The sequence below is a fragment of the Homo sapiens genome, chromosome 13, assembly GCF_000001405.40.
Source record: "Homo sapiens chromosome 13, GRCh38.p14 Primary Assembly".
Taxonomy (NCBI): Eukaryota; Metazoa; Chordata; class Mammalia; order Primates; family Hominidae; genus Homo; species Homo sapiens.
In genome coordinates this window covers 59,120,338-59,142,584 of record NC_000013.11, presented here as the reverse complement: position 1 = coordinate 59,142,584, position 22,247 = coordinate 59,120,338, and the positions used below count along the sequence as shown (strand labels likewise).

The window sequence follows — 22,247 nt, the reverse complement described above, 5'->3', positions numbered from 1 at the left end:
CATTGGATTGCAGCTTGGGTGACAGAGCAAGAACCTGTCTCAAAAAAAAAAAATCATAATCTCTTAGGAAATAGTGAAATTATTATTCTATTGGGTCTTGATTACCATTAAAAAATACAGTAGCATATACTAGAAAGGAATAGAGAACCTGGGTGTATCATATGTAGTAAATATTGTTTCAAGAAATTTTTGTCTCTCTTGTGTGTATGTGGTAATAATGAATGATATGAAATGTATTTCTCACCATATCTTCAAAAATGCTTGAAAACCGTGACTTTTGGTTCACAAGAAATATCTCTGTTGTGTATGGTGGAAAGGGGAAACTGCTCCAAAACTGTTGATGGATATTCAGAAGATTTCAATTCTAGTCTCATGGCTACACAATTAAATAGCTAAGTGACTGTCGATTTACTTTCCTCAACTATAAAATCAGGACATTTAATTAGATGATATCCAAGACCCCTTCCAGTCTGAAATTCAGACATAACCTTACCTTTAACCATGTGGCTTACATGATGATGTGTGGAGAATTTTTCAGAGGTTGGGTATGTGAAGCAACCTTTGCCATGCTCAAATTTGATTCTTTTACTGTTCTTAGCCAGGAGAGGAGAGCTACAACCTCTATTTTATTTCAGTAGATGAACAGGAAGACTGATAATATTCCCTTTATAGGTTCTTTTAAAATCTCTACATTGAGAGCCCAAAGACTTCCTATTGATTTTTGAATCTGGCTAATAAAACACTTGGTAGCCAGAACTCGATATAATTTTAGTGTTTTTTTTTTTTTTTCACTACAACCTCTCTGTTACTCACTGAGATTGAATCAGTAGGCTACTGGTTTGCCCAATGTATAATCTCAAGTCCCAAGGAACAAGGGCTCACAGGCACTAGACTTTCTGGCTGTGGAATTTACTTTTCATTTTTATTCATAAAGCGCTGCCAGCCCCGTTTTTAAAACTAAAGTGAAAACATAACTGTCTGGTAACGAATTTGAAATCTCTTAAGGAGAACATATTTTAATGCATCCTACTAGTGTTGGAAAAAATACATATCTGTATATTGAAAATATATGAAGTTCTTATTTTTTAGATTATATTTATGATATTTAAAATGGTGGACATTATACTTTGTCTCTAGATCAAGTCATTAGGATTTATTTTAATATTGCGAGTCTGTTTTCTTTTAAAAAAAGTTACTTAGTCTTCAGAAATGGGGACTGGGTAAACAGCAGGAAGAAAAGATGATTATCAGCAGGACAAGAAATATTGTGCCAAATGCACTTTCAAAGATGCAGTGGGGAGGCAATTCTTTTATCACCATTCAAATGTTTCTTAATTTGAGTTTTTGTATGCTAATGGATATAAATCCTACTCAGTATTCCTTACTGAACCTCTACCATGCAAAATCTACAGTTGGAGAACACAGTTGGATTTCTATTCTTGAAAGAGCTTTATTTTGGAGAGGAGACCTATTTCTAAAGGTGAGATGGTGGGAATTTTATATATTTTGGCACTTTGTCTGATTCTCTTCCTTCATCCTGAAAGTTAGCACACGTGTCAAAAGTTGTCAACTAAAAACATGAACCCAATACACCATGCACCTGCCATAACCAAGGAAATTCTACATTTAATGCTGAAGTGTTCAGAGGAAGAAAACACACCAGCTTGCTCTGTCACACAACATCATCCAATTATTTTTGCTTTCTTGCCCGACTCACACAATTCTCCCTTTAAATAAAAGTTACCCATTGCTCCATGCTTAGCAATTTCCTATGCTAGCATTTGCGATATATTGTGGACATGCAGATTGTATGATCTGTGATGCCGGAGTTAAAGAAACACAAATCCAAATTTTATTCCAATCAATACTTTGATTGATGAATTCAATACAAGAATTTATCTGGGAACAAAGTAGACTCTAGCCTTCAAATTTGGCTCCAGAAATAATAATTTTAAAAAATGATCATAAGACTTTAGAATAACAGACTATTTTTAGTGGGGAGGGGAACGCATGCACGCAAAACACAGCCTGTCCCCCACTGTCTGCAGGTCTAGATTTTATCTCATGAATACTGTGTATTTATTTCTGTAGCACTTTTCTGTGGGTTAAATCTATCAGTTAATGCATGGGGATATTATTCCCAGTCACATATAAAAATGTTGAAACTCAGTGTTTTGCCTGATAAAAATTTCAAAAACAATGGTATAGTTGGTAAATTTTCCACAAGTTCTACAACTACAAATAAAGAAAACCCCAATTACTTTCCAAACTACTGCTCCTTGTATTAGATTAGAAAACCACTAATAGCTTTTGAGCATGATTGTCTAATATTTTATTCAGGTCTTGCTTAGAAACACATTGAAATCATTACCTGACTTTTAAGAAAGAGGAGTTCTTTTTCCAATTAAAAATAAACCCACTGGCACACCCTAGCTCTTATTTCTTTTGCCTGGAAATCTTCATTTGACTTTCAGATGAGGGTATAAAGGATATCAACCAGAGAAAGTGATGTTCCTAGAGGTAGCATTTTTCAAAGGGGATGTGGGCAGTATTTAGCCACAAAATTATGCTCTTTGTTTTCATAGCATGACTAACAAAACAACTAGAAAATGCATACCACACACCACCTTGCATTCTATTTTATGTTTTCAGGGAACATTACTTTTCTTTGGAATACTAGCAAATAAAATACTAAAAATGAGAATATAACAAAACATATAATGTTAAAATGAAAGTTTGCAGATGTTACTTTTGGAAATTCTAAGCTAACCTAACACAATTTGTCACAAATCAGCACGTCTCTATTCAAGTGAACTGTGAGATCATAAAACCTGAATTGTTTGCAGATGAACTGAACTTTAGCGTGGTAGTCAGTCCTTGGCAATTGGAAGATACAAAGGGTAAATTTTAGGTTTGAAATGTTAGTCCTAAAAAGAGAAACATATGGGGTAATATATTTTGTGACACTTAATTGGACACTGGTGGAATTCCAAGCCTTTATCTACATATACAACTTGTTAAAGGAGGTTTCTTTTATTCATAATACGTGACCTTGAATATGTGGTTTACTGGTTTACCTTTTTTCCCCCATTGAGTTGGATATTTTTGTGTAAAATACAAAGCATCAAATAAATAGGTGATACAAGTTATCTTGTCTATTACTTTGACCAAACAGGTAATTCACAATACGTATTTTGGAGATAATTTTGTAGTGTGGAAGGACACATTCTTATTTCGGATTTAAGAGATGGGCACATGTGTCTTAGAAGACTGAGCGAGTACTAAATACATATAAGGCTGTTTTGGTGTGCAGGATTCGGCTTTGCTCTAGCAGACAGATGCTTTTGTAAGATCAATGACTACACTATAAAATTCTTGAGCTCGTTTTCTATTTTCATATAGTATGGCTCACATCTATGGCCTAAAGATATACTGCAATTTTGCGATCTCACATTTGATGGAATAACACTGAAACAGCCATATTAAGTTTTGTTAAAAATTTTTTGGAATCTTAGAATAATACAATATTTCAAGATGACATTACAAGCTTGCAAGAAATTTCAAATCAGCCCATCAATCACTGAACACATATTAATGGCCTTTGAGCAAACATCAAAATACAGTTCATAACCAAGGAAATTTTCAGTGAATTTTATTTTGAACTTCTGATTATTTTAATAGTCAAACTAAAATGGAAGACATTTAAAAAATAAATAAATGCATAAATTCTCTGTGATCATAAATTGCTGAGTGAAGCCAACTTCTGAATAGATACTTAGATAAATATTTATGTTTAATATTATACTAGTTATATACATTTTAAAATATGTAGTCAGTTTTCTTCCCTGCAGGTTTCTTCCTTGATATAGAGTGCTATAAAAATATCATAAAATTTCTTCATAGTGTTATTATATTTCATAAATTGTTTTTTCTTTTTATCTTTTACTCTAATTACACTCCATTAATTAATAATTTGAGTGCGGTGAGGCTGCCTTACTAATAACATTACTAGTGTTAGTTGGGTTATTTACAAGATAATGTTAAATTTCTTCACTTTCTTTACTTTTAAATCAATCCAAAAATGTGTTAATAATTTATAAAAATACAAGAAAAACATAATATTATTCAACATATGATCTTTCTCCAAGTTTCAGGTGGTTTCATTACAGATCAGTGCATTTTAAAAATGCGCAGTAATGAAATAATGTTATTGAATTCTTCTTTTTCTCTCATAATATGTGTTGTTTTATGGTCTGGCAGGAAAATTGAATTACATAAAGAAAAGGTAGGGGAGAGTTGGGCTGTTTCATGATATAATGAGTTCTCTGTTTTAGGAAAATTGAACAGAAGCTTGATGACTTCCCAAGAACAATTTGGTAGAAAAGAGTGCTGATGAAGAAGAGAGGGTATGTGTCTACTCCCATCAATTCTAAATTACTGTGATCATTTTAAATTCTACAGTTCCTTCTGGGGTAATCATTATCTCCTATTGATGGTCTATCAAAAAAGCTAACGACTCAGAATGAAGGGAAATAGGGTGCTTTGGCATGCCACAGGTCACTGTGGGGTTCTTTAAGGTGCACTAGCTTGTTTGGATGCTTTCATCTACAAGTCACAAAATACCGGGAAAAATATGTCCACTGAAGTGAAAGGAAAATGATAAGTATAGGAAGTCTATAGGTAGCCTTTTCCTGGTCAATTTAGCAGATCAAGAACTCACCAAGATCCAGGACCCTTCTGGCTTTCTGCTTTGTGATCTGTAGTGCGTCATCACTCTGCCTTCCTGGTCAGAAGATGGCTTCAGCAGCTTCCAAGCCTCAGTCCTCAGGCTACAATGAGTCAAAAATAGGAAGAAAGGTTGGAGGTTGGGATGGGATGGAATAGGGGAGTGACAAAGCTTTTTTCTAGCAGGTATCTTTTATCCGGGAGAAAATGCCTTTGGACTCCCTCCAGTAGACTTCCTCTTGGGTCAGTAGTAGCTTCCAGGAAAAAAGAAAATTAAGTATATTAAAATTCTAGCATCTTTATTCTCAGAACTTTAGGGCTTTGATATTGAAGAAGAAAGGGCTGGAAACAGCTGTTGGGTGAGGGACAAAAGTTTCTTCAACAAATTACCAGAGTACTGCAGCTCTCACTGAATGGATTCTCGGCATTGATCCCTAATCAGTTCAAAAATTGCTTGCTTCCATCAATGGAGTTGAAAACGTTTTATTGTTGCCAAAGACGTAGATCCAAGACCAGGAGCATGGAGATTAGAGAGACAACTGTCAGAGCAAACACACCCGAAGTAATCTTGGAGTAACTAATTGGTGATCTGATCTTTTGTTTATGTAGTTCCCAGATAAATAATGTCCCTGTCAGCATCATGTTTCTATCTGTTGTGATCATTTCCCACTCACTTGTCAGCCTTTAGGTGACAGTGGTCCTCTCCGACTCATAGATGCTGCTTCATGATTAGCCTCTCCATCTGGGATATGACTCCCCTCATCACTCTTTAAGTCTCTCCCCCTCCTTTTCTATTTTACTTCCTCCCTGATATGGTTTGGCTCTGTGTCCCCACCCAAATCTCATGTTGAATTGTGATCCTCAGTGTTGGAGGAGGGGCCTGGTGGGAGGTGTTTGGAGCTTGGGGGGAGGACTTCCTTCTTGCTGTTCTTGTGATGATAGTGAGAGAGTTCTCATGAGATCTGGTTGTTTAGAAGTGTGTAGCACTTCCTCCTTGGTTCTCTCTCCTGCCAGCTATGTGAAGATGTGCTTGCTTCCCCTTCACTTTCCACCATGATTGTAAGTTTCCTGAGGCCTCCCCAGAAGCAGAAGCCTGTACAGCCTGCAGAACTGAGCAGATTAAGCCTCTTTTCTTTTCTTTTTTCTTTCTTTCTTTCTTTCTCTTTTACTTTTTAGAGATGGGGTCTCATTTTGTTGCCCAGGCTGAAGTGCAGTGGTACAATTTCAGCTCACTGCAAACTCCGCCTCCCAGGTTCAAGCAATTCTCCTGCCTCAGCCTCCCAAGTAGCTGGGACTACAGGCGCATACTGCCATGCCCAACTAATTTTTTGTATTTTAGTAGGGATACGGTTTCACCGTGTTGTCCAGGCTGGCCTCGAACTCCTGACCTCAAGTGATCCATCTGCCTCAGCCTCCCAAAGTGCTAGGATTACAGGCGTGAGCCACTGCGCCCAGCCTAAGCCTCTTTTCTTTTCTTTCTTTCTTTTTTTTTTGAGACAGAGTCTCACACTGTCACCTAGGCTGGAGTGCAGCGGCCCAGTGTTGGCTCACTACAACCTCTGCCTTCCAGGTTCAAGTGATTCTGCTGCCTCAGCCTCTCGAGTAGCTGAAATTAGAGACATGTGCTACCATGTCCGGCTAATTTTTTGTATTTTTAGTAGAGATTGGGTTTCACCATGTTGGCCAGGCTGGTCTTGAACTCCTGATCTCAAGTGATCCACCTGCCTCGGCCTCCCAAAGTGCTGGAATTACAGACATGAGCCACCACACCCGGCCAAGCCTCTTTTCTATACAAATTACCCAGTGTCAGGTATGTCTTTATAGCAGTGTGAAAACAGACGAATGCACTATCTCTGTGGAATAGTCAAAAATCAATATTCAAAAAGACAGAAACCAGAGAGAATGAGAGAGAAACAGTGGAAGGGCAAGAAGAGAGTGAAGATTGGTTGTTGCTGGGATTATGGAGCCAGGGGCCAGGGCTTTTACCTTCCTTGTTTCCCGGGAGCATGAGACAGCTGAATACCTGGGGTGAATCAGGAGCAGGCTGGTGTCAACAGGTGAGGTGGGGCTGCCAGATGCCAACATATTAACTGGGACAAAAATAACAGGGGGAAATAAGAGAGGGGAAGAAAGTACAATTACAGTTACTGATAGCTGAGTAAGGCTTATGTGCCAGGAGACAAGCAAACTTGGTATGTTCCTAGGATTAGGGGAACTGATAAGCATAGGGAAGAAGTGGATGGGGACGAGGTGGCAAATTTAGGTGAGTGTGACAAATAGGACTTCACTGTAGCTCTCTGGGGGTATGTGCTCTTCTAACTAGTAAATGTGTTTTGGCAGATATTTAGGCAACACCCCTCCTGACCTTTTCTGACTCACGGGGATAGTCACCCCCCGCCAGGAAATAAGTTGTTAAAAAGACCTGTGCTCTTTAAAAATTTTCCTGGACAAAGCACTGTGCAGCACGTGTATTTGACAACTGCCTCAGCAAGCTCTTCATTTGCTACTTGAGCATGGTCCCTGTTTCTCTTCCTGGGAAGATTATGGGCATTTCTTATGGAAGATCATAGAACAGGTTCTCTTCAGTTTGGTTGCAAAGCTGGCTCTCCTGTCCTGATATTTAGAATAAATAGCAGAATTTGGGAGCGGAGACTGAGTTCTGTTCACAGTGCCTGATCAAGGAAAAAAAGGTTCTGGAATTATAGTGTATGTTTGGCTTTTGAGAGAAACTATATGTGCTGGAATTTATGTTATTAAATCATGTTACTGCTTATCTGACGTTTACCAATCAAAATGAAACTATTTAAATATTTTAATAATCAGTACTGCCATAACAGTGCATATTGGCTTAAAAACCACTCCTGGATCCTCACTCCATGAATAGTAGTGTCAAGATTATTGTCCCTTCAGTGCAAAGCTAGGTCAATGGCACCTCTTAGACAACATAATATCTGTAGTGATAAATAATACCTTTCTGGATTTTTTTGATTGAAGTTCTGCTTTAAAAATAAATGATGGGATCTTTACTTTCCATGGCTGCTAAGAGAGGTTAGTTTCAGAGCAATATATCTCATTCACTAATAACTTTATAAAAGCTCTGTACAGTTTCGGACAGTTGTTGAAAAGAAACAATGATGTACTAGATGCTTTAACATCATGATAGATTTTATTCTTTAATTTCATTGAATTTCATAATCTTTGACTAAAGGTTGTTATTATTTAACAACAAATAACAAATGTGACATTGTCTCATGATATACACTACAATTTGTACAATTTGTATAAACATAAGCCAATGTTTGGTTTTGGAAAGATTTTGTACAAACATAAGCCAATGTTTGGTCTGGAAAGCCAATTTGTACAAACATAAACCACCCACACAACTGTACTCCCATTCCAAAATATTCAGAACCTGAGGGAAGAGAATAGGGCACAGTGGAAAGAATACAACCTCGAACCACACAGGGACCCTGTGACAATGTGATCTCTGCCACTTTCTTGCTCTGTGAATTGAGAGAGATTATTTCAGTTCTCTCGGTTTTCACTTTCTTAATCCTTTCCTTATTCAATCTGTTTGTTTACCTTGCTCAGACAACACAAAAGAAGACACAGAAGCACCATGGGCAAACCATGGAACAAGAACTGGAATGAATATCTATTCCACTACCTGAACTAAAGACTGCAGACGGAGAAAGGGAAGACAGGGGTTTAACTGGCAATTCAAAGTGAGGTGATCAGCCTTCTGTTACAGAGTTAACTGTGTGTGAAAGGTAAGGAGGCCGTCATACTGCCCCCTTTGTCTCATTTACCCAAATAAGTTTAGTTCACTTCTTTACACTTAAAGGTCTACTTCACTAAGGGGCATTTTGACTTTAAACTAGATGAAGGGATTTCTTATTCCTGATCTCTTTTTCTTGTGCTCTGTCTCTGCCGCTCTTTTGCTTCAGCTCATTTTTCAGTCTGTTCTTTTCTTCCTTTGAAGGTTTCTTAGTAAAAGAGTGTTTGAATTTTAGTTATTTTTTCTTCCAACATGATTCGATTATATTTTGTCCTCTGTCCAGGAGGCTTTAGACACTGTCTGTAACCACTGCTGCTCCCGACACAGCTCCACGGCCACCACTAAGAAAGTCAGGAGGCACTGGAGCAGAATTGGCCCTCCAAAAGCAACAACTGAAATGCATTTCTGTACCTAGAGTCTTTATTTTTTATCCAAGATTATTCTAATTTTTGAATGATTTAAATTTAAATCAGTAATATTGTATTTCTCAGTTCATGTGTGCGTGCGTGTGTCTTAGTGTATACTATGTCAGAAAAATCAGCTAACACTAAGTCATGATAGAATGTGGAAAAAAGGATAATGATCATGGAAATGACACTGTTTCAAATTGTGTTATGATCCTTGCCTTTCTACATCCTTTGCAAAGGCAGGGAGGGCTGTGCTCTCACAGGGCCATTTGTGTGCATCTGTGTGGGAGTGTGTGTAAGTGTGAGGGTGGCAGAGGTTGGGCATGAGTATACACAGAAGCAGGATGCGAAATAGCTTGAGCTCAGTTTAGGAAAACTGGGGATATTTCTAGTTTAAATGATAAAAATGTCAAGAGTCCAGAATCCACCTTCAACTTTGCATATGCTCTCACTACAAAGAAGAAAAAGAAATGAGATCAAATGTCATATATAGCTCAGATCTCATTTCCAAAAATCACATCTCATAGTTTTTTGTTTTTCATTTTTCCTGAATGTATACAATGTATTTGGCTCTTTTTAAATACTAATGGCTTTTTAAAGAGTTGCCTATGTTATCTTTGAAACCCCACTTAGCTGAAGGGTATAATGCAGAAAGAATCTGTTATGCTTTCGGTTGCTGAAATCAGGGAAGCAAGGTTTTTAAAATGAAGTCTTTATTAACAAAATGAAAACAAAACCTTTGAGGTCTTTTTGTGTGTCTTGGCCTTTTACTGACTAGCACCCATGTTTTGTGTTTCTGATGCATATTACCTGTCATGAATAACAGATCTTGGGAGACTCTATTGCAGCCATGGAGAGTAACTGACATTGGAATAGCCCACTCACCACAAACAGCTATCAAACTGGGCACAATATATGAGACAACTGTTGAGACATTCGACAAGAGACAACACAGGGCTGTGGTCTTAGAAAGGAAACACACAAAGTAAGCTCCGTGATCACCATGACTTTCCCTACCTGGAGGCAGTTTCCAGATTGCAAAGCAGGAAGGTGGAGCCCAAACAGAGCTTGATAGTCTTGCTGAATTTAGGAGGTGAAGATTGCAGCACAGGGCTGTTGGGTGGATTGGAATTTTTAAGGCCAAGGACCACAGAGAAAGGAACTATGTAAAAATGAAATTTTCCTAGACATTGTTATTAAGTTTTTTGCTAAATATTAAGCTGTAAGTGTACAGGGAAAGAGGCAGTGAGGCTGGGGAACTGTGAAAATAAATATGGATTCTAGAGGATGCACATTTCTAAAGAGGTGGGGTCATGACAAGTTGAAGTTTTGCTAAACACAATAGACATTCAGTTTAGTTCCTAAAAGTTTAGATATTGGGAATAGGGCTACCTTAGACTTAGAATAATATATAATATGGACCTATTTTAGCAATCAAGTTGATACACTATTAAATTAATTTCCTGCCAGAATAACACTCAATTCGCTTTAAATAAAGACTTAAAAACAGTTTTGACTCTCAACAACATAGTGCCTGTAATGTTTAGCATAAAATAAAATATTACTAAGTGGCATAAAAACAAGAAATTGGGTGTCCCATAACCGGGGGAAATAAAACATAATATAGGCACATACAGAGACAAAAGATATGTTGGAATTAGCAAAGAATTTAAAATAGCAATTTAAATTATGTTTAGGACTTTAAAGGAAAGGATGAACAAGATAAACAGACAGATGGAAAATCCCAGTAGAGAAATAAAAACTTTAAGAAATGGAAATTCTAGAACTGAAAAATGCAATAAATGAAATGAAAAATTGATAATTTATTCCTCATAAATATTAAAAATTTCTGCTCATCAAAAACCTAAGCGGAAGGATTTGTGCATATATATCTGATTATAGACTTATGCCAAACTATGTAAAGAACTTTCATAAATCAATTTAAAAAACCCCAAAAACACAATTTTTAATAAATGGATGGAAGTCTTGAACAGGTACTTACGAAGGGAGATAAATGTCACATAAAAACATGTTCAACATCACTAGTCAGGCTTATGAAAGTTGAAACCACAATGAGATATTAGTACATACTGAGATAAATTTTAAAATGCTGAAAAAAATGATATTTAGATATTGACATGTATTTATAGCAACCAGAAACCTCATATGTTAGAGGAGGTGTAAAACTGATACATCTAATTTGGAAATCCATTTGGCAGTATCTTTTAAAGTTACAATTACCTACCCTATGATTCAGCAATTCTACTCCTAGGTATTTATTCAACAAAAATAAAAACATACATTGAAAAAAAGACTTGTTCAATAATGTTCATAGAAGTTTCATTTATAATAACCTGAAATTGGAAACAATTCAAATGTTCATTGATGAGTGAATGCCTAATCAATTTCAATATAGGCAATGAAATATTATTCAGCAGTGAAATAAAAGAACTACTGTACGTGTAAACACGTGAATTACTTTGAAAACCATTATGCTGAATGACAGAAGTCAATCACAAAAGTGTTTATTTCCACGTTTTAGTGTAATTTTAGAGAACACAAAACTGATCTATGGCATGAGAAATCAGAACAGTGGTTGCTTCTTGTGGAAAGAGCGTTGGTAGGGGAACAGAATGAGTGCATAGGAGTTTCTGGGATGATAGAAATGTTCCTTATTATCGTAGATTTGTGACTTACACAAGTGAGTGTATCCACTGCTCAAAACACATCAAATTGTCACATATAAGGTCTGTGTACATTTTATTGTATGAAAATTATACCTCAATTTAAGATTGAGGTACATGTGGCGTCATTCAATTCTTTATATTTTCTTTGTGATTTCAGATAAACTTTGCGGTTATCTATTTGTGCCTATAGTTTGAAATCTGTAAGCTAAATAGGATATTTTAATTTTTTCAAGTTTCTCTTAACAATATGTCACTATACAGATGATTTATTTCAAGTCTCGGGTATGTCAAATAGATATACAAACACATTCTACTGGCCCACCTAATTATAAGATAGTAAACAGCTGTCTCACAACATAAATTTAGATGACAATATATTATCGCCCTAGCATAAGCTCAAAGAAAATAGTCTTACACTCTAGAAAATGTTCAGGATCTAGTGGGTTGCATTAGAAAACGTGCACTCACATATACAGTCACTCAACAAGGGTGCTACAAAATTGCCAAGGGTCACAGTTCTGGCATTTTTGTTTCTGATCACTTTAGCAATTTTTACTCATGACTTCTGCTTCAACAAATGCTCCCACCCTTTTCTTGGGTGGGGACAAGGGGTACAGTCTTAAAAGACAAATCTGACCTAAGAATTTGGCCAGAGAGGAGAGAAGAGAAAAACTAAAAAAGAGACTGTTAAAAAAAATTTTTTTAAGTATACAGTAAAAGGACAAAAAAGAAAAAAAAAGAATCGAAAGTACAGGTTGGTGTGACAAGGCAGGGATGGCTGACACCTAACCCCTGCCATGACATGGCAAACTATACAAATGTGTCTCATTGCTGCACCATTGCTGGGATAGTAGTTTTGCTCATTCTTTAGTCTCCAAGTGTTTCCATTATAGCTCCCTATTTTTAGGAGTTAATAGCTAGGCTATAATAATTTGCTTCAGGCTGGCATACCAGGTCTCAGTCAGGGAGTACATTTACAATAATAGAATATAGCCTATTTCAGGTGCTTTTACTGTGTGTGCCTGTGTGTGTGTGTGCACGCTCATGTAATCTAAAAATGTTTGCTGTTGCAAAAACTTAAATTTGATAACAGATTGACTTCTAATGTGATGTAGTCAGTTTTGTCTACCCCAGATACTAGAAAAAAATAGTCACTGAAAAATGTCTTTTTGGAGAGGAAATGTGTTAACTCACATTTGTTTCCATGAGGTCCAGGACCTAGTGGGTGTTTAATAAGTGTTCACTGACAAGAGTAAAAACAAAAACAACAATTCTATTTGTTGCACATGGCATTGTCTTCAGCACTCCTTTGTAAGTGTGCTTCTGTAAATGTGATTTACTCTTAAAAAGAATAAGTTAAAATAACTGTAATATTCTAAACAATGTTTATGGCATACCTAACATCTCTTGAATGTTAATCTCAGGAAATAGAATTTCATGAGTTTTATGGAGTTACTGTTTGTTTTGAGGGATCTGCCTATTTGGGGAAGTCAGCTACTTGTCTATGTATTTTTAAAGGTATTTTATTGAGTACGATTACTTTTGGAACTCAAATGACATGCAGAAAACTGCATTGTCATCAAACGCTGATCCTATATGGGAATGGTTGTGTAACCTCATGGGTAAGCATGTGATGTTCAAGAATAAAACCTCAGACTCATTTTCTCCTTATGGTTTGAAGAAGGGGAGTGAATCACAATGGTAAGAGAAGAAAGTCCTACTGTAGCTGAATGAGAAGCCAAGCTACTTGGCAGTACCTGCTTTATGCAAGGGGCTGGTTGTACATTATCCTTAAACATAAAAACTGTGCCCTGTAGTATAATTTTCTGCATGTGGCAGAAAGGGAAACTGGAATTTCAGACGGATAAATGACTTGCCCAGGATCAAACATCTAGTAAAGGAATTTTAATTTGTCATCAAAGAAAATCATCAATAATTGGTGAATAAGAAATTATGATCTTTTTATGCGATACATGTCCAGAGAAATGAATTTGAAAAATACATTTCTCAGAAAAATTGGGCCATAACAGCAGACAGATTAAGGCCTATCTTCTGCCTAAGACCCTCTTTATTTTCATTTATCTAAAATGCAGAGAAGGATACATCAGAGACTTCAGGCAGGATCATTTATCTGGCTCAGGACATGCATGACCCACATGTCGTCAAATGCAGTTGATGCTTTTGGGTTCTCATCTTGTCAGCACTGTTGCACGCAGTTAATTATTCCCTTCTTGAAACATGTTTTCCCTTGGTCGGCATGATGCAACACTAAGCTGGTTCTCCGTTAATTCCTCCTCAGTCTTCTGTTGTTTGTTCATCCACCTCCTTCATATGACTTTCTCAAAATATTCTTATCACTTTGATTCTCCCCACTGATGTCCCTCCCCTGCCTCATCTTCCAACACATGCCATTTCTCCCTCAGAGCTTCATTCATGCTGGACTTCTCTCATTTTCTCTACATGCCAGGCTCTTTCTGTAAGGCATTCACTCATTTTTTTTCCATTTACCTGAAATTCTTTTCCTTTTCCTCTGCATTGTGTGGAATTTAGCACTAGTTATTTATATATAATTTTTTTTGCCATGTCTCTATATACTGATACTATTATCTTCCTTTAATTTGCTAAATTTCTTTAATCATTCTTTTTACTAAAATTAATATACTAGAAAAAGAAATCTAATATCATTGCAGTAAATGTAAAATAAAATCATGATTATATGCTATAAGAGAAAGTTATTAAAAACAAATACACTAAAATACACTGTGTAATAATAATTTATATCATTTACACTTAACTGCATTTTGGGTATAATGGCCTGGTTCACCTCTCTCTCTCTCTCTTTTTTATTAGCGGTAACTCATAAGAAAAACTTGCTTAGCCATTTCTTCCCTAGATGAAATCATGCTACCTATGATGTATTTCAATAACATCACATCTTTTTTTCCTCCTCTGTAGAACTTATCAGTGAAATAATTAATCATATAGTAAGTTGTTTGATATCTTTCTCTTTTAGAATGTAAGATTCATGTATACATCTGACAGTGACAGCTGTATGGCCACAGCTTCAGTGAGTATTTTTTGTAGGGGACCCTTGATATCTATATGCATATTTGTTGATGGAATAAAAGAATGCATTGATTTTTACATTAAAATCATATTTAGTGGGAGTTATCATGGTTTTATTTCTTACCATATGCCAAGAACTGAGACTGTAAATATATACAAGACACAGTGTTCAAGTTGCCTATGCCTAGAGTGCAGGGCTTGGCTATAAATAAACAATTACAGTGTAACATCATGAGCACTATAATTGAGGTAAGAACAATGTTCTGTGGTAGCGTGAAGCAAGACTAAGCTTGCTTGGGCAGTAAGGAGGCACCACATATGGTAACCTCTGAGCTGTGTCATAAAGCTGAGAAGTGTCCTGGGCACAGATGCAGTGAAAGAGAATTCTAGGCAAGGTAGTGGACAAACCTGGAGGCTGCTGAGGAGTTTTATGCAGTTGGATCAAAGTACACATGGAGTGAAGTAGCAAGAAATACTTTTGTCAAAGTAAGCCGGAGTATGCTTATAAAGGGCTTTATATCCCGAGCTATCAAATATTGACTTGAGTCTATTGGAAACAATGAAACATTCAAATATTTAAACAGGGGATGACATGATTAGATTTATTTTTTGGGCAATAATTTGGCATTGTGAAGGCTGAAGTGAGTGGGAAGAGCCTGGAAGCATGAGATAAAGATAGTGTGGGCTATGGTGTGGGCTGTGAGTGGGGACCTAGTATCCTTCTTGTATTTTAAATTTGTGTTATCTTCCCTTTGTGTGAAAATGGGGTTCTCTTTTTAAGGGCTACATCCACTATCTGAAGTAGGTATCAGAAAGGAAGAACAGGTTGACTTACCAGGAGGTATTTTCAAAGGAAGAAGGAAAGGCCTTTCTGATGACTTTAGGAAGAGCTGCAGCTCATAATTTATTGCCCATTTCCTCTCCAGGTCCTTTTGAAATGTATCTACAATCTTCAATTGTAACTTCTAAAAAGGTTCATGTCCCATTTTACATACTCAATTTATTTAAATGTATTATCTGTATTTTACCGTTAAAAGGAGAGAGGATTAGATGATAGGTCTTATGATTTGTCATTTTCTGAGCAACAATGTAGAGTTGCCAAATTTCACATTTATTGTACCACACTGGATACTCTGAAGAGTGGTTAGGTATATTATTATCAAAATGAAAGAGCTCGTGTTATGGACGGAATTGTGTGCCATCAAATTGCATGTGACAGTCCTAAACCATAATGTCATTATATTGGTAGATAGGGCTTTTAAAGAGGTAATTAAGCTTAAGTGAATTCATAAGGATGGGGCTCTAATCCAGTGTGACTGACATCTTCATAAGAAATGAAGGAGATAGCAGGGAGGAATGCACATAGAAATAATGTGATGTGAGGACACGGCAAGAGGGTGGCCCATCTGCAAGCCAAAAAGAGAGGTCTCAGGAGAAGTCTAACCTGTTGACACTTTGTTCTTGGACTTCCAACCTCTAAAAGAATGAGAAAATAAATTTCTGTTGTTTGAGCCGCCCAGTGGTATTTTGTTATGGTGGCCCTAGCAAACTAATACTGCTTGTTTATGGCTTTTCAATAAAACAGTCAAACAAAATACAAAAGAATATTGAGAGAGAGTGCACATGAGAATTGGGGTGGAGGGATGGGGAGGGCCAAGATGATACACTTTCACCAATTCAAATGACACTAATTAGGAAATTATGAAACTGAATGGAAGAAAACAGAGACAAAGTGTCCATTATTTTATTTAAATGGATAGCGTAGTTGACCATTACTCTTCTTCACTAAAACAAGCCTTTCTTCAAGGCAACTGTTAACCTAGTTTGAAATATCTCTTTACAGCATTAATTGAAAATATGAATACATTTCTTAAAGTATATTTTATCATTTGGAATGCCCATCAGTAAAGTAAAAATGCCTCATTTTCATTTCTCATTAAGTTCCCCTCTCACATGTTCAAAAAATTATAGCTAATAACGACCTCCCAACCTCCAACAAAAAACAATTTCATAAAAGAGTAAGATTTTTATTGTTCTCTATGGCCTTCTGCAGTGAGAGAATAACTCTTTTCTTTCTTTTAATTGTTAATGTGAATTATAACAGACTTACAGAAAAGTGCATAAATATAATTTTACAATTTCACGAAGCATTATAAAGTGAACACCATGAAATCAGATCAAGAAACAAAACATTCCCCTCACTCCAGAAGCAACTGAACACCTTCCTGATCACAATCCCCTTCTCCCCTTCCTGGGAATAGTATTATCCAGATTTATATGGTAATTCCTTCATTGTTTTTCTTTACAGTTTTACTGCCTAGTATGCAATCTTAAATAATGTGGTTTAGTTCAGCCTGTTCTTGAGTTTTTATCAAATGAATTATGCTTGTAGGAATTATTTCCATTGTTGGTGTAGCTATAGATTGTGCATTTTCATTACTGTATGGTATTCCATCTAATAAATAAACATCAGATTATTTGTTCATCTTATTATTGATGGCCATTTACTTTTAGTATAAAGCCAAATGGAACAATGTTGTTATAAGCAATCTTTTGTAGGTATCCAGGTGCACATGTCTGAGTTTTCTTGGGAATAAGCCTAGAATTTGAATTTCTGGGTCAATTTCCAGCTTTTGTAGATAATCTAAAAGTGTTTCTGAAAGTGATTGTTCTAATCTACAATTCCAACAGCATGTAAGAGAAACCCATCACTTCACTGCTTTGACAATGTTATTTTTAGTCTTCCCCCCTGAATCTGGTGAGTATGTAGTAGTTTGTCACTGTTTTTTTTTTTTTTTTTTTTTTTTTTTTTACATTTTCCTGCTTATAAATAAGTTCGAGCACTTTTTCACATTTGTTGTCCATTTGCATTTTATTTTCTTTGAAGAGCCTGTTGGAGTCATTGGCCCATTTTTCTATTGGGTTTTCAGGCTCTTTATTGTTGATTATGGAAGTTTTAATATACTCTGCGTATAAGTTCGTTACTGATTTTAGGTGTTGGCTCTCACTGGGTCATTATTACAGAAATTGGAAATTGTTTCCAAATCTTGGCTATCATGAATAGTGCTGCAGTAAACCTGGGTGTGCACGTATTTCTTTGATATACTGATTTCCTTTCTTTTGAGTATATAGCTAGGTGTGGGATTGCTGGATCATATGGTAGTTCTTTTTTTTTTTTTTTTTTTTTTTTTGGGGTGTCTCGCTCTGTCACCCATGCTGTAGTGCAGTGGTGCAGTCTTGGCTCACTGCAACCTCTGGCTCCTGGGTTCAAACAATTGTTGTGCCTCAGCCTCCTGAGTAGCTGGGATTACAGGTGTGCACCACCATACCCGGCTAATTTTTTTTTTCTATCTTTAATAGAGACAGAGTTTTACCATGTTTGCCAAACTGGTCTTGAACTCCTCACCTCTAATAATCCTCCTGCCTCAGCCTCCCATAGTGCTGGGATTACAGGTGGGAACCACCATGCCTGGCCCTGGTCGTTCTATTTTTAGTTTTCTGAGGAACCTCCATACTTTTCTCCACAGTGGCTGTACTAATTTACATTCCCAACAGTGTACGAGGGTTGCCTTTTCCCCATATCCTCGTCAGCATTCGTTATTGCCTAAAAGTCATGTTAAGTGAGATGAGTTGATATCTCATAGTAGCCTTGATTTGCAGTTCTCTGATGGTCAATGATATTGAGCACCTTTTCATATATTTGTTTACCATATGTATGTCTTCTTTTGAGAAATTTCTATTCAGATCCTTTGTCCATTTTTTTTATTGGATTATTATATTTTATTTTTCCTATTGAATTGTTTGAGTTCCTTCTATATTGTGGTTATTAATCCCCTGGGTTGTCTCTTCACTTTGTTGATTTTCTCTTTTGTGGAAGCTTTTTAACTTGATATGATCCCATTTGTACAATTTTGCTTTGGTTGCCTGTGCTTTTGGGGTATTACTCAATAATTCTTTGCCTAGACTGATGACCTTAAAGTTTCCCCAATGAAATGGTGACTTTAAAAAATCTATTTTCTAAGTGTTTGATACTGGCATATAAATATAACTGATGTTTTTCTGCAACCTTGCTACAAAATACTTCTAATTAATCTGTAGATTCTGTTAGATTTTCTACAAATGAAATTATGTTAACTGAGAATAATGACAATCTTAATTTTCCTTTCCTAATCATTATACCTTTCATTTCTCTTTCTTGCCTTTCAGTGCTATCAAGGCCCTTCAGTACAAGATTGAAGTGAAGTGATGATATTTGACATCCTTGACTTCAAAGGAAAGCTTTGAAAATCTCACCATTAGATAAGATGCTTGCAGTGGATTTTTTTTTAAATTTGTAATTAGCCTTTATCAGATTGAGGAAGCTCCATTCTAGTTCTAGTTTTCCATGAGTTTTTATTTTTAACTTTTATCAGGAATGGATTTTAAAACTCATCAAATGCTTTTTATGTATCAATGAGTTGAAACCTATTTTTTTATTTTATTCTTAATATGACCAATTACATTGCCTTTCTAATGTTAAGCTAACCTGAATTTCTAGTATAAACCAACTTGCTTATGATGAAGTCTTTTTACCAACTGCTGGGTTTACATTTTTAAGAATTTTGGGGTCTATGTTCATAATGAGATTGGACTGTATGTTTCCCTTGTCATACTCTCTTGATTGGTTTTTGGTATCAAGAAAATCCAGTCTGATACCATGTATTAGAGTTTATCTTATTTTGTCGTTCTCTGGAAATATGTAGGATTGATATTAATTTTTCATTGTGCCTGTTAGTAAAGATGTTTGAACCTAAACATTATTTTGGAGGAAGTTTTATATTGCTGTTTCAGTTTCTTTATGTTTATCTCAGTTTTTTATTATATCTTTTGTCAAATTTATAAGTGGTCGTTTTCTAGAAATTTTCTGGACAGTTTCTTCTGAATTTCTCAATTTATTGGAATAAAGTTATTACATACAGTTATTATCTTTGTAATATCTATAGAATCTCCTGTTTTATTCCTGATGTAAGTTAATTTTCTCTTCTTAATTATTCTCTTGAAAAAAAAATATATGTGTGTGTGTGTATATATATATATAAATGTTACTAGCCTCCCAGTTTTGGCTTTGTCTTCTCTATTATATTTAATTATTAGTTTCATCCTCATTCATCAATGCTCTTTCTTTAATGGTTTCTTCTTTTTACTTTCTTTTTTGCTGTTCTTTTGTAATTTCTCAAGACAGATGCTTAAAGCATTACTTTTAAGCCATCTTTTCTTTTGAATGTGTGCTTCTAAGGCTATACATTTTACATGCTGTACTTTTCAAATTTTAATATGTAGTATTTTCATTATCATTCAGTTTAGTATACTTTCTTTTTTCTCCCATGATTTCCTTTCGATGTGTTTTTATAATGTCCAAACATATAGTAATTTTCTAGGTATATTTTGATTGTTAATAGTTGTTAAAAACATATACCTTTTTAATTAATTTATTTGTACTTGTTTTATGGCATAGGATACTGTCCAATTTTTATATTTTTGCATTTGGGGGCTATAATATTTATTAAATCTTTCTTTCTCTGTATCCTTCTTGAATTTATATATGCAAACTGCCACTGACTGTGCATTTGGGTTCTTCTTATAATTTTATTATTTTATAAAATTATGCATTTTGAGGTCATGTAATTGAGTGGATGTGTATTTTAAACTGTTTAAACTTTCTTGGTGATTCTTTTATCATTATTTATTTATATTTAATGTGGTAACTGATATTTTTGTCATATTCACTATCTTTATAAATTCTTAAACATATTGTTTTATACAGTTAATACTTACTTAGAGCTGCCTACAAATTTACCACTTTATTTTTTCTTCATTTCTTTTTTCATCTCAACCTTCTTTTGTAGCAGCAATTTCATTTGGCATGAAGAAAATACCTTATTTACCTTTAGGGAGAAATGTAATAATCTAGTCTTGCATAGATAAATCTGGAGAATAGCTGAAACCTGGGAGGTGGAGCTTGCAGTGAGCCGAGATTGTGCCATTGCACTCCAGCCTGGGTGACAGAGCTAGACTCCGTCTCAAAAAAAAAAAAAAAAAGTGTGGATCTCAGTGAAGCCCTGCAATGAACATAAAAATTTAGGTATCATTAGCTAGGTGTTTTCAAAGTTCTGAAAAATGGATGAGATCACCTCAGGTGAAAGTATGGCAAGAGAATATAAAGAGCTATGACTGAGCCCTGAAGAATTTCAGGATCTAAATGTTGGGTGCTGGAGGCAGATAGCCCAGGGAGAGAGAGGAAATTCACGGTGTTACAGAAGGCAAAGGACCCAAAACTTCCGTAAAGAAGGACACATTTTTCCCAGGTAGGAAGAGTGTTTGCCAATTTCACTTTACAAATGGGAAGACAGAGCTACTGATTGCTTGACCAGCTTAGCCTTAAATCACATAACAAGGTTTACTATGATCTTCAGATTTGTTAAACCTGTGTTCAGATGATTTGGCTACTACTGGACTTACTGAGGATATTTAAGTCATTAAGACATTTTGAAGGCCAAAAAATGATGACTTTTGGATTCCACTTCAGGATAAAATAAGCCATGATAGATTGATCCAAGTAATAAAATAGTAATCAGAAGTCTATTCTGAAACTGCTTGAAAAAATAGCAGACTTCTCTTTCAGTTTTTCTCTATTGAAGTCAGCAGGAACATCACTTTGGACTACATGATGCTAAAAAGGAAAGGTGAATTTGTTTCAGATTTGTCCATGGTCTTGTTGATTATATTTGGATCAACTTTAGTGACAGTTATCTTTAAATTAATATCGTCAGGAATATCCCAGATTTTAACTGAAATATAAACTGCTTAAGGCTGATTGTGGTTAAGTAGTGAACATCTTCTATTAGGCTTTTACGAAACCTCACCACTGATCAAGAATGCCAATGCTTGAGGGGAAAAAATGTCTGTTGTCGGTCAGAGCTTTAATTAAAAACTATACTTTGTTTTCAATCCAATTTTGGAAAGAATACAGGAGAAAAAGCAAGATGTAAATTTTACAATGCCTTGGCAATGTATCCAATTCTCAGCTGAACAAAGGAGCTTATATGCAGAAAATCTTGTAGGAATAAAGCATGTAAAATAAATAAAAAGCTTCCAGTGCTTAATTCCAATCTTCTCCACAGCAACTGGAGCTGCTGATAAGACACCTACTCGGAGTAATGATGCATAATATGGAAATGCAATAACCCAGACCTCGTAAGTACGGACGAATGCCATCTTTTTAAAGGAAATGGTTGCAAATGTGAAGTGCAATGTGCTGAGCCATTTTCAAAGGTATTTTCATAAACATGGTGAAATGCCAAGGCTTGGTTTTTCCCAACATGATAGGAAGAGCAAGGAATGTAACTATTATAGGGGCATCTGGTATTTGTCCGTGCCCTATCATATAAATGTTTACGTACTGTCGATTCATTATTAGTGGCAGTTTTAATGGGAATATAAATATTACAAAGTATGTTTACTACAGATAAATCATAGGAGTGCTGAAGTAATTTGTAGTACTAAAGCTCATTTTGGATAATTACAGTGCCCCTGAAGAATGTGTTT

General features: G+C 35.7%; 1 long non-coding RNA gene across 2 annotated transcripts in view; it reads left to right on the top strand.

Annotated features, from left to right (window-relative positions):
• The first annotated feature begins 1,153 nt into the window (after positions 1-1,153).
• Positions 1,154-22,247, top strand: part of LOC105370224 (uncharacterized) — a 31,790-nt gene continuing 10,696 nt past the window's right edge. Inside the window, exons 1-4 of one of the 2 annotated variants that reach the window (XR_007063813.1) lie at positions 1,154-1,480; positions 4,335-4,406; positions 8,317-8,495; positions 21,824-21,896. This is a non-coding gene — a long non-coding RNA (uncharacterized LOC105370224). Of the gene's footprint in view, positions 1,481-4,334; positions 4,407-8,138; positions 8,496-14,610; positions 14,665-21,823; positions 21,897-22,247 lie in introns of those variants that run through there. The other variant, XR_941994.3, reaches the window with a different exon arrangement.